This window comes from Homo sapiens, chromosome 19 (assembly GCF_000001405.40).
Source record: "Homo sapiens chromosome 19, GRCh38.p14 Primary Assembly".
NCBI classification, from domain to species: Eukaryota; Metazoa; Chordata; class Mammalia; order Primates; family Hominidae; genus Homo; species Homo sapiens.
Window position 1 is genome coordinate 19,442,567 of NC_000019.10, and position 16,440 is coordinate 19,459,006.

Consider the following 16,440-nt stretch of genomic DNA (forward strand, 5'->3'; position numbering starts at 1 on the left):
GCAGTGAGCCAAGATCGCGCCACTGCACTCCAGTCTGGGCAACAGAGTAAGACTGTGTCTCACAAAAAGAAAAACCCAAGGGTTTAAGCTGGCTGTGGTTATACGCACCTGCCATCCTAGCTGTTCCGGAGGCCAAGGCCATAGGATTGCCTGAGCTCAGGAGTTGGAGTCTAGCCTGAGCAATGTAGCAGGACCCCCCAAGCTGAAAAAAAAAAAAAAAAACCCACAGTTTCTTATTGGTGCTTAAAGGACAAGGAAGAAGCTCACTGGTCCCCTTTGGTAGGAGTTAGAGAGCTAGCTACCCATTTAAAAATGGGTAGAGGGAAAGCAACAGGCATTTTTCCTGCATCTTCTCTGTGGGCTGCACACTCCAGGAACGAGAGTGTGGGCGAGGGCAAGGTTCCCTCGCATGGCAGTGCTGGCCCGCAGAACTGCCTAGGGTGACAGGGATGCTCTACACCGTCTGCCCTGCGTGCCGTTTAACATAGCATGACTGAGGACACGGAGTTTAATTTTGTCTATTTAAATAGCCACATGTGGCTAATGGGCAGCACAGCTATTGATGTGTTTTAGCAAATTAATATGAAATGACAGAATTTTAAGTTTATTGCAGTCACCTAGTGAATTGAGGGGTTCCAGACTGTAAGGTCCAGACAGTGATTCTCCCTAGCTGCTAGCCCCCAAGGAGAGTGTCCTGTGCTTCCACAGGGACACGCACTCACCAAGCCTCAAGGTCTAGTTCATGAGAAATTGGGGGTATGTGCACTTACGCCACAGGGACGCCATTTGCAAAACCAACAATGGGAAACAGGGCAAGCATCCTAACTCTTTGAGCATACGATTGTGTCAGTAAGGGGACCTGTGGATTCCAGCCAGATATGACTCCAACAAAGACGGAAGATTGTGAAATTATCAAAGGTGGGATCATAGTGTTGTGGTCATGCTTGTTCTGTAGAGATAAATACTGACCCCTTTAGCACAAATGCATGTTTCATAGGATTTGCTTCGTGGAAGCTAGTGGGAGAGAGAAGGAGAAAGGAGCGGCATGTGGAGGACACGAGGGTGGTCCCCGATGGCCGTGGACCTGGGTGGTAAGCACCTGCAGTTAATCACACCATTATCTACTCTGTGGGTGGATTTGAAATTTTCCTTAAAGAAAAGTGTGAAAATTGGGTTTGGCCCAGGTCTTTTCTCAGGGAGCTTCGTGACTGGATCATCTAGAAGAGGGGAAATGGCCATTTATAAAAGCTGAGGTAGAGGCCACTTGGGGGTAGTTTAGGAGACCACTTGGGAGTAGTTTAAATTCAAGCAGAAAACCATGAGCAGAGACTGGAATTGCCAGAGGGGACCGTGGCCTGTCAGCCCACCAGACAGCCTCTCTTACACACTCTTATTTTCTGTAATTACAACACTCACAGCTACTCTTCGTGGAGCCCTCAGGAAGTGTTAGCAATAAAGTGGGTGCTGTTCCCATTTTACAGGTGAGGAAGCTGAGGCCCTTGTGGGTGAATCAGGCTTTCTGGCTTTGACTGGACAGCTAAGGGCATGAGCTTCTGGGCCTCCTTCCTGTCGCCTCCCTGCTCAGTACCTGGGGCACATCTGACTACCACTCCAGTACCCTGACTCTATGATGAAAACCATTCTCCCCTCCCCATTGGTATTGCCCATCCACAGCAGTCGTAGCCCATCACGAGTGGATAAAGTAGGTGGTTAGCTGGACTTGCACATGACTTGTTTCGTGAACAGTAGTGCTTAGAGTTGTGATCTAGGGACCCAGCGAACAGTGTGTGAGGGACTTCAACCCTGCCTCTCTCCGGTATGTGCTGTGCCTGCTGTGCCCCCCACTCCAGTGTTCTCCTTGGGGCTCCTGAGGCAGCTCCCAGTAGGAGGCCTATCGTTGTTGGCACCCCAAGGGTGTCCCTGATCCCTAAGTAGAAACTTAAGCAGGTATTTGGACAAATAAATGAGTGAAACACCTTGTGACGTTGAGGCCTGTGGCACTTCCCCAATAGTGTGTTAGTGTAAAACCACCGTGTATGATGCCTGTTGGTCCCAGCACTTTGGGAGGCCAAGGCATGTGGATCTCTTGGGCCCAGGAATTTGAGACCACCCTAGGCAACATGGCGAGACCTCGTCTCTACAAAAAGTACAAAAATTAGCCAGGTGTGGTGGTGCGTGCCTTTAGTCCCAGCTACTCAGGAAGTTGAGGTGGGAGGATTGCTTGAGCCCTGGAGGTTGAGGCTGCAGTGAGTCATGATTGTGGCTCTGCACTCCAGCCTGGACAACAGAGTGAGACCTCGTCCCTTAAAAAAAAAAAAAAAAAAGCCACCATGGCAGTTTTGTTTTATTTGGATTTTAGGCAGTGTAGGGCCTGTGATAAGGCCTGGCTGAGGTGGGGCTCTGCTGGTAGTAACTCTTGTGATTCCAGCCCTCTGAGGCCACTTCCTCTTTCTGCCTTGGCTCCTCCTTGGTGAATTCTCCCTTATGTGTCCCACATTCTCATACTCCCAGGCATTGGATCTTTAGCTGGGAGATGGTTCTGAGTTCCCATGTGTACAGTGGGCTTGCTGCAGCCTCCTGCAGTTGTCCTGTAGGACTCGTGGTTGGTGGTGACATAGAGGCTGCCTACCCTGATGGCTGATGGCTGATGGCAGTGTGGTTGTTTGGGGTCTTGTTGTATAAAAGGAGCATGTTTACTGAAGGACCCAGTTCTGTGCTGTTGGGGTCACAGCAAACCTGCTTTTGCCTGTTAGTATTTTAGTAGCTCTAGAGGGGTTCATGGCTATTGGAATTAGTATTTTTGTTTTTGTTTTCTTTTCTCACCTCTTTAAAAAAGCATGTAAAATTCACATGGTAGAATATTCACCAGTTTTAACGTTTTTAAAGTGTGTTGTTTAGTGGCATTTAACCCATTCACAGTATTGTGCAACCATCACCTGTAATTCTAGAACATTTTCATCACCCCCACCCCAAAAGAAACCTTGTCCCCATTAGCAGTCACTGCCTTTTCCTTGACTCTGCTCTCCACCCTCCCAGCAGCCACTTATTCTACTTTCTGTCTCTGGGTTTGCCTCTTCTGGCATTTCATATAAATGGGATCATGCAATATGTGGCCTTTTTGTCTGACTTTTTTTCACTTAGCATGATGTTTTCAAAGTTCAGTCACATTGTGTCAGAGTTTCATTCCTTTTTATGGCCAAATAATATTCCATTGTCTAGATGGACCACATTTTGTTTATCCATTCATCCATTGATGGACATTTGGGTTGTTTTCTGCTTTTTGGCTATTGTGGATAATGTTGCTTTTAACATTCACCTGCACATTTTTTTTTGAATACCTATATTCAGCTCTCTTGGATATACCTACAAGTGGACTTGCAGGACACTCGGGAGCATGGTGATGCCGTGGGCTGGAGGCCCTGCCCAGGCTCATGTGGGAACTCTGCGTTTAACTTTTTGAGGAACTGGCAGACCGTTTTCCACATCACTCTACTGTTTTACTTTCCACTGTTTTCCACGTCACTCTACCGTTTTACTTTCCACCGTTTTCCATGTCACTCTTACCATTTTACTTTGCACTATGCAGTGTATGAGGGTCCCAATTTCTCTACATCCTTACCAATACTTAATTGGCTTTTTTGATTGTAGCCATCCTAGTGGGTGTGAAGCGGTTTCTCATGGTGGTTTTGATTTGCATTTCCCTCATGACTAATGACACTGAGACAGAGTCTTTTTCACATGCTCATTGGTGATTCGTCTCTCTTCTTTGGAGAAATGTCTGTTCAAGTCTTTTGGCTGTTTTTTAATTGGGTTGCTTGTCTTTTTGTTGCTGAGTTGTAAGGATCCTTCATATGTTCTGGACACTAGACCCTTATCAGGTGTATGATTTGCTATAATTTTTTCCCATTCTATGGGTGTTTTTTTTTTTATTCTATAATGCCCTTTGCACAAAAGATTTTAATTTTGATGCAGTCCAAATTATCTTTTTTCTTTTTTTGATATTGTGCTTATATGTAAGACTGTTTGCCAAACACCAAGTCATGACATTTTTCTCCTGTGTTTTTTCTTCTAAGAGTTTTATGGATTTAGCTCCTAATACTTGGGTCTTTCATCCATTTTGAGTTAATTTTCATATATGGGGTGATGTAAAGATTTTGTTTTGTTTTTATTTTTTTGTAGAGACAGTCTCACTATGTTGCCCAGGCCGATCTCAAACTCTTGGCCTCAAGCGATCCTCCCTCCTCGGTCTTCCAAAGTGTTGGGATTACAGGCGTGGGCCACTGCATAGTGCCTGGCCAGGTTTTGTTTGGTTTTGATCATTATCTTTTCTGTCAGGATGAAGACATTTTGGCATTAACCGGGAAGGAGGTTGAAGGGCAGTGGTAGTTGGGAGTTCTGAAAGTACTATTTCAAATCTGTTTAACAAATGCGTATACATTGCTTCTTCTGTGCAAAGCATTGTGCCTGCATGGGCCCTTGGATGGTAGTGCTAGAGAAATAGGTGTCCCTTGATATCCTGGGGGTGGAAGCCCACAAACAGAGAGGTGAATAAATAGCATGTCAAGTGGTGATGAGGCAGGAAAGGGGATAGAGACCCCCTGGGGGGCATGTGTGGAGGGGAAGCGTTTCTCACTTTGCATTATCAGCTGAGACCTGGGGGAGTGGAGATGCAAAGGCCCTGAGGTGGGAGTGAGCCAGGATGTCAGTGTGGCTCCAGCTGAGAGAACAGGAGAGGGGTTGGTTGGACTTGGGGGACGGGCACAGGGGTGGCTGGATTATGGTCAGGCCAGCAGGACCTTCTGGCCAGGGCTTTGCTTCCGTATTATTAAGTATCATGTTTTACCAAAGAAGCACTGATACAGACCCCCCACTCCCCCACTTCATGGCACAGCTGAGCTTAGCTGTTGCCCAGAGGTTGGTGTGGGTGTCTATACACAGACTCCTCCCACCCCTGAGGGGAAGAGTTCCATTTGCAAGGTAGAGGGTAGAAGTAGGATTTCTGTCCCAGCCCTTACAGCTGTGCAGGAACCTGCTGCAAGGATTGTTTGTGGGTAGACCCACGGGCTGGGGCTGCGTTGAGAGCAGATAGTTTGTTTCATCATAGAAGTAGGTTTCCCTGCTGGCTGTGATCCTCCCTGTGGCTCTGTGATGCTGCAGGATGCTTGTAGGGAGGAGCTTGAGGAAGGGCGCCTGGGCAGGGCCTCCAGCCCACAGCGTCACCACGTTGCTGGGTGCCCTGATGAAAATGGCAACAGATGAATTTTTGGTTCCCTCACTTTCCACTTGACATTTCCTTCCAGGAACTGAGAAGGCTTTTCTGGCCCTTGGAATTTTCTGTGCCAGACCTCCCTGCCGTTTCCAGTCTCAGGCCTTGATGGAGCTGGTGGTCAGGGCCACAGCTTCGCCTGGCTCAGCCCTGAGAGACTACAGCCCTGGAAGGGTTAAGGCCTCCCATTTTGTGATGTGACGCCTGATGGGCACGTAGCAGATGGCATGGAAATGGCAGGCGTAACCCTTCGTAGGCCACGTAGGCTCACGGTCCAGGAGGCATCTGGGAGGGGACAGAGAGCCAGGCCCTTCCCACAGAAGGGGAGCATGGCCAGCCCTCACAGTGACGTCCTACAGCTGGGACTCTGGTCCCCATTTACCTGTGGAGGTTTAAGACTGCCCGGACTCCCCCTTCACAGGCGGCACCTTTGTTTCTATGTCGTGTGTTCCTTGGGCAGCGTCTGTTTCTCTCTCTGGGGCCGCAGGGTTGGGCTTGGGCACAGGCCCTGGCCAACAGCGGCGCAGGTGTGGGGCCACTTCAAGCACGGCCTCAAATGAGGGCAGTGTTGGGCACTGAACAGTTCTGAGATGTCACACACAGAAACCAAGTCCTGATCTCCAGTGTGAGCACAGGGAGCTATTGGTAGTTGTGTTGTGTTGTGTTGTGTTTTTGAGACGGAGTCTCTCTCTGTCTCCCAGGCTGGAGTGCAGTGGCACAATCTCGGCCCACTGCAACCTCCGCCTGCCGGGTTCAAGCAATTCTCCTGCCTCAGCTTTCTGGGTACCTGGGATTACAGGCGCCCACCACCATGCTGGCTAATTTTTAAATTTTTTTTGTAGAGATGGGGTTTCACCACGTTGGCCAGGCTGGTCTTGAAGTCCTGATCTCAAATGATCCGCCCGCCTCAGCCTCCTAAAGTGCACCGCCCCTGGCCTAGCAGTAGTTTTAAAGACACTTATTTGCTACCTGTCTTTCTCCTCATAATAAGCCTGTGATCAGTTTAGGTGTGCTTTTTCCTATTGTCTGGTACAACTTGGGGGTGAAGACAGGCTTTCATCTCGTGTTACCCGGAAGGGCCCTCAAGCTGAGACACAGGGCCGATATACAGAAGCAGCTAATTGTGATCCTTGTGGGGCTCTTTCATGGCCAGTGTGTGGACACTATCGTCCCCTGGTTTTGGGAGTTTTCAGGCAATCATCTGTGTCTCTGGAAGATGGCATAATCCCTACACCATCTTCCCTGATTAAGAACTATGCTTCTCCAGTTTTTTTCCCCCAGATGACACCAGAGAGGGAGTTTGGGGTCTGGGGACCTGTCTGTCCCAGGCTGGCCCTGCACAATAGCGTGGTGAGTCTGAGTGGTGGGCACACCATGGGAGGGCTGTTGGCTATTGGGATCAGTGATCTATTTTCTAGAGACAACTTATGCCCAAAACAGCTTTGCTCTGCACAGGGTGCTGGAGTGAGAGGCTACCAGAGCTGCTCTCCACTGTGCAGGCCTAGTGTGAGTTACATTAGGAATTTGCAGACCATCTAGATGTTATTTATTTTTAGAGACAGGGTCCAGGCGGTTTCAAACTCCTGGGCTCAAGCACTCCTCCTGCTTTGGCCTCCCTAGTAGCTGGAACTACATGCACACATGCCACGAGACCTGGAAGGTTTTATTTTTAAAACGTTGATGGTTACTTGGGTATATATTAATATACCTGGGTATGTTTCTGTGATGTTTTGCTCTCCAGGTTTACTTTGTTAAATGTATCAAAAAAAAAAAAAAAAAATCCAGCCTGGGCAACATGGTTGAAACTCTGTCTCTACAAAAATTAGCCCAGTATGGTGGTGCCCACCTGTGACCTCGGGAGGCTAAGGTGGGAGGATTGCTTCAGCCCAGGAGGTCGAAGCTACAGTAAGCTGTAGTCATGCCACTGCACTCCATCCTGAGCAAGAGAGTGAGATCCTGTCTAAAAAACTTAATAAATTGATTTTAAAAAATATTTTGGAGGCATCATTTACAAGTCCTCTACCTGAAACACATGAGATTGTAAGTGCATTTATTTGTAAATGGGAAAGCCAGAGGTGCCTTTTCTTTTTACTTCCTTCATTGTTTTATTTATTTATCTTATATTAAAAGGTTTTTTTGTAGAGTCAGGGTCTTGCTATGTTGCCCAGGCTGGTCTTGAGCTCTTGTCCTCAAGAGATCCTCTTGCCTTGACCTTCCAAAGTGCTGGGATTAACAGGCATGAGCCACTGCACCTGGTCCCTTTCATTTTTAATTACCTGCATTTCTGAGTAGCTCTAGAACCAAGAACTAGAGATGATGGGATGGATGTCCTGGTCGTTGGTCAGATTCCGCCCACTGTTTGGTGATGGGAACCAGCTTATATTCGTGGGTCATTAGCATTTCAGATGAAGTGCTGGCAAGGGACCCTGCCATTCAGCAGCACAGTGCTGGGCACACCTGGGTTGTCACATGTGCCCTGTTAGGAGGCGGTAGATGCCCCTCTCCCTCTGTCAGAGCTGAGCATGGCACTTGTAAATAGCGTCTTCCTGGAAGTGCTGGGTAGGGAACACCTGTGGGGGCTGTTGCTCACCCCCTCTTCAGGGAACGCTGGTGCTCATATTTATGTATTTGGTGGCCTGAGGGGAGGTACTACTTCACTTGAATTGGATGTGTGCTGCTCATGTCTTTTTGGAGTGTGTTCTGTGCCTTTTGACAGCTTTCAGCTTTCTCCTCCTCTTCAGGACCTGTTAAAGGTTTCAGCCCTCCTCTCACAGGCTAGGGGGCGGTCAGGATCCCCGTACCACAAGGTGCTGGGGGGTATGTGGGGGCTTTTTCTTCATCGTGTTCAGGTGAATACAAGTGTGGCCTCTGTACTGGGATGCTTTCTTTCACCAAGCAACCTCATTACATTAAAAAAAAAAAAAAAAAAACTCTTTTTTTTTGTTTGTTTTGTTTGAGACGGAGTTTTGCTCTTGTCTCCCAGGCTGGAGTACAGTGGCATGATCTCGGCTCACTACAACCTCCGCCTCCCGGTTTCAAGCAATTCCCCTGCCTCAGCCTCCCGAGTAGCTGGGATTACAGGCGCCCGCCACTATGCCCAGCTAATTTTTTGTATTTTTAGTAGAGACGGGGTTTCACCATGTTGGCCAGGCTGGTCTTGAACTTCTGACCATGTGATCCGCCTGCCTCAGCCTCCCAAAATGCTGATATTATAGGCGTGAGCCACCGCACCCGGCCGAGATTCAAACTTTTAAAAAGTGGGGTGGGCGTGGTGGCTTACTCCTGTAATCCCAGCACCTTGTGAGTCTGAGGCAGCCGGATCATGAGATCAGGAGATTGAGACCATCCTGGCCAACACGGTGAAACCCCCTCTCTAGTAAAATACAAAAAAAAAAAAAATTAGCCGTTTGTGGTGGTGCGTGCCTGTAATCCCAGCTACTTGGGAGGCTGAGGCAGGGGAATCACTTGAACCCAGGAGGCGGATATTGCAGTGAGCCGAGATCACGCCACTGCACTCCAGCTGGATGACAGCCAGGTGGGCTGTGAATTAGAAGGGGTGTCCCAGGCACTGATCAGGCTCCTCGTGCTGCAGAAGTTTCCTTCTGAGTTCACGCATTGTCCAGATGTGCAGCAGTCAACAAATCAGTTATTGTGGCTTCTCTGGAAGCTGACATTACCATGTTTTTGGCACGAAGTAGAACCAACACGCAAGGTTGCAGTGCCAGTGAGTTGAGGACGTTCTGTGGCTCTATCCAGCTAGGTGAGAAATTGCAGGGCTGAGGAAGTAGTGTGGGTTGAAGTGAAGTAGGCGGGTGGGAATGCGTGTGAGACTCAGCAGGGCTCTGGGCTCCTTCACATGCTCTACAACTTGGTGATTCCGGCCCTTGTGTCTGAAAACCATACTTTGTGGTTTTCCATATTCTTGAGACAAGTAGATCAGTAGCTGTGTGGACGCTGATTGCTCTTGAGAACTACTGTTCTTTTGTTCAGAATTAAATGCAGAAGAAAGACTTTTTTTCTTCTTACTTTTAGAGACAGGGTCTTGCCCCTTTGCCCAGGCTGCAGTGCAGTGGTGCGATCATTGCAGCCTTGAACCCATGGACTCAAGTGAGCCTCCCTCCTTGGCCTCCCAAAGTGCTGGGATTATAGGCGTGAGCCACTGCTCCTGGCCAGAAAGATGTTTTCTGAGACAATTGAGCAAGACTCAGAAGTAGGAGGAGGGGATGAAAACTGTGCATGCGTATGAGTGTGAGTATATACGTGTGTGTTGTTCAGGATTGCTCTGTGTTTAACTAGTGTATACTTTGCAGGGGAAGGAGGTGTCTGTCTGCTGTCCCACTGTTTCCTTTGTCTGTCTTCTGCCTTTCCTACAGGGTCAGATGCTCTTACTTCATGGGCGCCATGTGTTCCTTGTCCCCTTCCCAGTCTTCTTGTTGCCCTTGGCTTCCCTGGATCCCACAGCCCAGGTGGGGCCAAGGAGTCCCTGCTCAGGCACTGAGAGCCTTGCTGTGGCTGTCAGAGGTTGATGGGGAGACTGCCCATCTTGTGGGAAGCCTTTGTAACAGTGACTTGGCACCTTCAACAGGACGGAAGAATGTGTTAGTTCCGTCTCCTGTTTTTGTAAAATGGTTGTCCACCTGTTGAACTGCATCAGCCTCTCAACCAGGCAGAAGGCTTAGAGAATCCATGTCAGCCCCCAAGTCCAGGGAGCCCCAGTGTGAGCTGGACAGGACATAGATTGCCCCCAGGCCTGGGGGGGTGAAGTGACGTGCAGAATTGAAGGACCAAGGCAGGGAGTGGCAGTAGGCAGGACAGGTCCTGGTGGTTCTGCTGAATCCCTGGGCTGGGGCTGGGCTGAGGAGCTAAAGCCACAGGCAAAATGTACCACACGCAGACCTTTAGCCACCCACAGTAACTTTGTTTTCGGACCTTGATTCATTCTGTGGGACAGGACATGATATAGGTTACCTGCCTGTCCAGATCCTGCCCCAGAGTGGGACAGTCGTGTATGGCAGAGCATTAGCTGGGAGAGGTCACACTAGCTGGGTGTGGACCTTGTCCTCCTGTGCGTCCCCTCAAAACCAGGTAATGTGTCCTCAGGATTTCCCTGGCACAAACGACCTCGCTCTCCCTCAGTCCTCAAAGGTGATGGCCAGTCCTGGTTACCCGGGAAGCCCGTGCCCTGTGACTCCCTTCCTGCCACTGGGCATCCCTGTAGCCCCCATTCCTCCAGCAATCAGCCTCAGTGGTGTGTTTGGTTCACACCTTGTGCTTGCACTGTGACTGAAACCTCCCCTCCTCAGCGAGGCTTCTCCTGGGCCCCCAGGCTGGGCTTATGCCCCTCAGGTCCTTCTCAGCCCTGTGCTTTTCCTTAGGGCTTTGGTGTGATTCTCGGGCACCTGTGCTTAGGGAGTGCTTGTTTCTGTAACTGGGTTAAAGTTTCATCCACTGCAGCAATTGAGTTTATAGCATGTAATTTCCTTCTACCAGGGACCTATTTATCTTGAGTGTTCTAAGTGTGGGCTTTTGGGACAGTATAAAATTGACCCTGTAGCAAGCTGTCTTGTCTGCACATAGCACTTTTTGAAACTAAATTTCCTTCTGACTTGTCAAAAGAGTTAACCTTGAGTCCTTGCTCTGGATTTAATTTACACGTTCGAGTCTGTCCGCTGTGCCCCCCACATACAAGGTCTTGCTCCGTTGCCCAGGCTGGAGTGTAGTGGCACAATCACAGCTCACTGCAGCCTTGACCTCCTGGATTCAAGCAGTCCTTCCACCTCAGCTTCCTGCGTAGCTGAGACCACAGGCGTGTACCACCACAACTGGCTATTTTTTAATTTTTTTAAAATTTTTTTTTTTTTTGAGACGGAGTCTTGCTCCGTCGCCCAGGCTGGAGCGCAGTGGAGCAATCTCAGCTCACTGCAACCTCCACCTCCTGGGTTCAAGCAGTTCTCCCGAGTAGCTGGGATTACAGGTGCCCGCCACCACACCTGGCTAATTTTTGTATTTTTAGTAGAGATGGGGTTTCACCATCTTGGCCAGGCTGGTCTCGAGCTCCTGGCCTCGTGATCCACCCGTCTTGGCCTCCCAAAGTGTTGGGATTACAGGCATGAGCCACCACACCTGGCCAAATTTTTTGTGTTTTTTTTTTTTTGTTTATTTTTTGTTTTTGTTTTGCTTTTGAGACAGAGTTTCGTTCTTGTTGCCCAGGCTGGAGTGCAATGGCACAATCTTGGCTCACCGCAACCTCTACTTCCTGGGTTCAAGCAGTTCTCCTGCCTCAGCCCCTGGAGTAGCCGGGAGTATAGGTATGCGCCACCACGCCTGGCTAACTTTGTATTTTTAGTAGAGACAGGGTTTCTCCATGTTGGTCAGCTGGTCTTGAACTCCCGACCTCAGGTGATCTGCCCACCTTGGCCTCCCGAAGTGCTGGGATTACAGGCATGAGCCACCACACCCGGCTTAAAAAATTTTTATCAGAAGGCCAGGTGCAGTGGCTCACTGCCTGTAATCCCAGCACTTTGGGAGGCCGAGGTGGGTGGATCACCTGAGCTCAGGAGTTCGAGACCAGCCTGGGCAACATGGTGAAATCCCATCTGTTCCAAAAATACAAAAAATTAGCTGGGTGTGTTGGCACCCACCTGTGGTCCCAGCTACTCAGGAGGCTGAGGTAGGAAGATCGCTTGAACCTGGGAGGCGGAGGTTGCAGTGAGCTGAGATGGAGACATTGCCCCCAGCCTGGGTGACAGAGTGAGACCCTGTCTCAAAAAAAAAAAAAAATTTATTGGAGACGAAGTCTCCCTTTGTTGCCCAGGCTCATCTTGAATTCCTAGGCTGTAGTGATCCTCCCTCCTTGGCCTCCCAAAGAGTTGGGATTACAGGTGTGAGCCACTGTGCCCCCCCCCACCCCCTTAGGTTTCTGTTTTTGAAACCTACTTTTCTCTGTAGTCCATTCTGCTATAAGGCTTATTTTGGAAAAGCAGATTTGTTCCAACACAATTGATGTGTTAGAGGACCGTCGAGGTGTAACACAAATGTTGCGATGGTTGCGTGTGGTTTTGTTCAGGAGAAACACTAGGCTAGGGATTGGAAAACTATGGCCCACAAGGTGGTGGCCTGTTTTGGTAAATAGAGTTTAATTCGCAGACACGCCCATTCAGGTATGTACAGTTGGGCCTCCATATCCTTGTGTTTTGTGTCTTTGAGTTCTACCAACCGTGGATTGAAAATATTTGGGGTAAGCCAGGCATGGTGGTATGTGCTTGTAATTCTAGCTACTTGGGAGGCTGAGGCAGGAGGATCTCTTGAGCCCAGGAGCTTGAGACCAGCCTGGGCAATACAGTGGGACCCCATCTCTTAAAAAAATTTTTTTGGGGGCTGGGCACGGTGACTCACACCTGTAATCCTAGCACTTTGGGAAGCCGAGGCAGGTGGATTGCCTGAGTTCAGGAGTTCGAGACCAGCCTGGGCAACACAGTGAAACCCCGTCTCTACTAAAATACAAAAAGTTAGCCAGGCGTGGTGGCATGTGCCTGTAGTCCCACTTACTCGGGAGGCCGAGGCAGGAGAATTGCTTGAACCCCAGAGGCAGAGGTTGCAGTGAGCTGAGATTGTGCCGCGCCACTCCACTCCAGCCTGGGTGACAGAGCAAGACTCTGGGTCTTAAAAAAAAAATTTTTTTTGAAGGAAAATAATGGAAAAAACAATACAACATAAAATAATACAAATAAAACTATAGTATAACAGCTGTTTATGTAGCATTTACATTTTATGGAGTATTATAAGTAATCTAGAGGTGACTCACTAAAGCATATGGAAGGATGTACGTAGGTTGTATGCTAATACTACACCATTTTATATCTGGGATTGAGCATCTGGGAATTTTGGCATCCCGGGAGTTCCTGGAAATAATCCTCCAAGGGTCTGGAGGGACAGCTGTCCTGTCAGAACCACAGAGCTGAGCATTCCTGACAGAGACTAAATGGCCCGCAGAGCCAAAATTATTTACTGTGTAGCATTTTAAGAAAAAGTTTACTGGCCAGGCGTGGTGGCTTACGCCTGTAATCCCAGCACTTTGGGAGGCTGAGGCAGGCGGATCACGAGGTCAGGAGATCGAGACCATCCTGGCTAACACGATGAAACACCATCTCTACTAAAAATACAAAAACAAAATTAGCCGGGCATGGTGGTGGGCGCCTGTAGTCCCAGCTACTCGGGAGGCTGAGGCAGGAGAATGGAGTGAACACGGGAGGCAGAGTTTGCAGTGAGCCGAGATCGCGCCACTGCACTCCAGCCTGAGCGACACAGCGAGACTCCATCTCAAAAAAAAAAAAAAAAAAGAGAGAAAAAGTTTGCCAACTCTTGCATTAGGTGAATCTAGAAAACTGTTACCAGTTTAATATAGTAGAGCACCTGTGAGTACATGAAATAAAACTGCCCACACCTCAGACATGCTCCAAGTCCCCTCGGGGTCCCGCATGTTATGGGCCACACCCTATCCCTTTCCGGGGTCAGACAGCCTCCCTCCAGCAGAAATGGCAGCCCACCCATGCTCACGGCAAGCAGTAAGTTTTCCCCGAGGTGAGGGTCAGACTTGCAACATTTGTATATTTCTTAGCCACTGAGCATGTGTGTAGCTGTGCTGCCCATATATCCACATGTGTCATTGCTTGGGCTCCTATCTTACGTCATAGATGAAGTTTTGGAGTACTGTGTCCCTAACCCTTATGTCCATAAGCCCTGTGTTTTTATCACATGGGTTTGCATCCCGCAGTGTTTTTAGGAGTGCTGCCTCTGTTGCGCTACAGCAGAACTTAACCATACTTTGAAGGCAAAGGCAAACACCAAAAGGTTTGCTCTCATTCGTGACAGTAAAGTCGTAATCACTTAATATCTCATCTGGACCTCTTGGTGTGAGAGGGCAAGGTCAAGCCCAAATTGTACAGGTCCAGTGCTCCCCATGTCCTTTGGAATCTTCAGGTCTGACTCTTTGAGTGGTTGATGGGGCCTTCTGATGGCTGACTGGGTACTTTTGTGCCTTGGTTTCCCCACCTGCAAAAAGGCGGCTGATGAGAGTATTTACCTTACAGGTGGTTGTGGGGTAGATGCTCAATCAGTGTTGGGTGTTTTGCACTTAAAAATTAGAAGATCCCCATGCTTCTATTAATTACAAAGGAGCAACAGATTTGGATGAAACCCTGAGGATCCCAGAGCTGAAAGTGAGTTTGAAGTGTCCGATCCAGTCCTTCAACTCAGAGCACTCCTATCTGTGACACCTCTGCCCACGCATCCAGTATGTGCAGCACACCTGCTCTGTGACTGACACTCTTGCAGAAGTGGGGCCACTTCAGGGACATGGACAAGGTGTTGTACCTGCTGTCACAGAGCCTGTTATCTGGTGAGTGATTGGGACATTCTGAGGGCTCATACCTTCTGGCTGCAGGTTCTTCCCAGGGGCCTCCCAGAGCTTCTTCCATAGCCCCAGGCAGGGCAAGTCTAGATTCAGTCTTGCCTGGAGACATCTGAGGATGGCTGTTCCATCCTCCTCCTCACATGTATGCAGCTCTCCTTTGAGCCCCACCTGTGCCTGTCACTTCAGGTGAAAGCAGTGTAAACATGATTAACAAGGCCAGGCTCGGTGGCTCACGCCTGTAATCCTAGCACTTTGGGAGGCCGAGGCGGGCGGATCACGAGGTCAGGAGATCGAGACCATCCTGGCTAACACGGTGAAACCCTGTCTCTACTAAAAAATACAAAAAATTAGCCGGGCGTGGTGATGGGCGCCTGTAGTCCCAGCTGCTGGGGAGGCTGAGGCAGGAGAATGGTGTGAACCCGGGAGGCGGAGCTTGCAGTGAGCCGAGATCATGCCACTGCACTCCAGCCTGGGCAACAGACTGAGACTGTGTCTCAAAAAAAAAAAAAAAGATTAACAAAAGGCCCCTTGCACACTGTGGAAGGCTTATCAGAGTGGCCACCTAGACAGAGGCATGGTAGCCTGAGTTCAGACCTAGCCTGGACTTTCACCCAGCCAGACTTCAGTTGTGCCTGTACCTTGTGGGATGACACATGCCCGTCTCCAACTCATGCAGGCTCTCAGTGAGAGGTAGTTGGCTCCAGCCAGCTTGCACCTCCCCACTGCTGGTCTTATCCTAGGACCACTGCAGGGAGACGATCTCTCAGTTTGGGGTCTTTGAAGGCTCAGGGAGCTCCTAGCCAGCTGACTAGGCTGGGGTCCATCCTGATAACATGAGAGAGAGAAGATGTCTGTATCTCTGGTGTGTCTTTACTTTTCAGGCCACCAAGGGTTAAGAACCCAGCGTCAGCCAGTGAGTAGTAGACATCTGTTCTCCTTTTGAGAAAGCCTGTAGTTCAGGACTCACCACGGCTTTCCCTTCCTTGGCCTGAAACCCTCCCTGCTCAGCTGCTTGGCGCATGCTGTTCCCCTGCCTGGAACGTCTCGCCTAATTCCTTTTCCTGCCCTGGCCTCAGTCTGGGAGACGCCATCTCAGTCCCCATGTCTTGGAGTTTTAAATGAAAGCACTTTACTTGTTTGCTCCTCTTTGCCCTGTAGGGCAACCCTGGGAATCACATGCTTCATGAGTCTAATTTACAGAAACGTAGGCGTAACTCAGCAGTGCATACCAAGCCCATACTGTTTGCTCTACACTGAAAATGAAGATGAATGGTGAAAAAAAGTTTCTGCCATTGAGAGCTTAACATTGAGTTGCAGTGAGAGATGAAGCTCCTGAGTGGCACGGAGATTGTTGCCAGGGCTCTGGTGAGGTACGCTGTGGCCTGGTGGTTGTGGCCACTCAGGGAGGCTTGTGGCCTATATAGAAGGCGGGCTGTGGGAATGAGCTGGGGGGTTTGGGTTGACTGTTTAGAATTTGAGAGTCTCTAGCATATGGCACAGAAGGTAGATGATTTAAGCTGCGTGGACATCTTCGATAAACACTGGAAGAATGGGCAGTGGTATCCTCTCTCGGCCCACTGAAGCTTCTGTGTCCATCTTGTGTCCTTAGTCCTATGCGTTGGAGTATTGGAGGAGCCAGCTTCCCCCTCTCTCCAGAGCTTCTCACCCTAGGGAGCCTCCTTCCTCCTCGCCTGGATGAGGTACTGTCTTTCTTTGTTAGTTTCTTTCTTTCCTTTTTTCTTTAAGAAACATGGCCTCACTA

General features: G+C 49.3%; 1 protein-coding gene across 44 annotated transcripts in view, besides 2 other annotated features; it reads left to right on the top strand.

Annotated features, from left to right (window-relative positions):
* GATAD2A (GATA zinc finger domain containing 2A) overlaps positions 1 to 16,440 on the top strand; it is a 123,090-nt gene that overhangs the window by 56,724 nt on the left and 49,926 nt on the right. For 7 of the 44 annotated variants that reach the window (NM_001384514.1, NM_001384522.1, NM_001384518.1 and 4 more), the window contains one exon: positions 14,441 to 14,663. The exons of 33 other annotated variants lie outside the window; for them this stretch is intronic. Coding sequence is in view for 1 of the 11 variants with exons in the window: in XM_047439001.1 (XP_047294957.1) it covers positions 16,374 to 16,378 (5 nt within the window). In the remaining 10 variants the exon portion in view is untranslated. Of the gene's footprint in view, positions 1 to 14,355; positions 14,664 to 15,898; positions 16,379 to 16,440 lie in introns of those variants that run through there. 4 more of the 44 variants (NM_001384521.1, NM_001384515.1, XM_047438998.1 and 1 more) reach the window with 3 other exon arrangements.
* Positions 3,435 to 3,554: an enhancer, noted in NCBI's record as "active region_14354". NCBI's record gives its function as "activates an Ori minimal core promoter by ATAC-STARR-seq in GM12878 lymphoblastoid cells {active_cell/tissue: GM12878}" and the evidence as "EXISTENCE:reporter gene assay evidence [ECO:0000049][PMID:35858748]".
* Positions 9,968 to 10,468: an enhancer, noted in NCBI's record as "H3K4me1 hESC enhancer chr19:19563343-19563843 (GRCh37/hg19 assembly coordinates)". NCBI's record gives its function as "activates a minimal SCP1, AML or CMV promoter by ChIP-STARR-seq in naive H9 embryonic stem cells {active_cell/tissue: H9 hESC(naive)}" and the evidence as "EXISTENCE:reporter gene assay evidence [ECO:0000049][PMID:30033119]".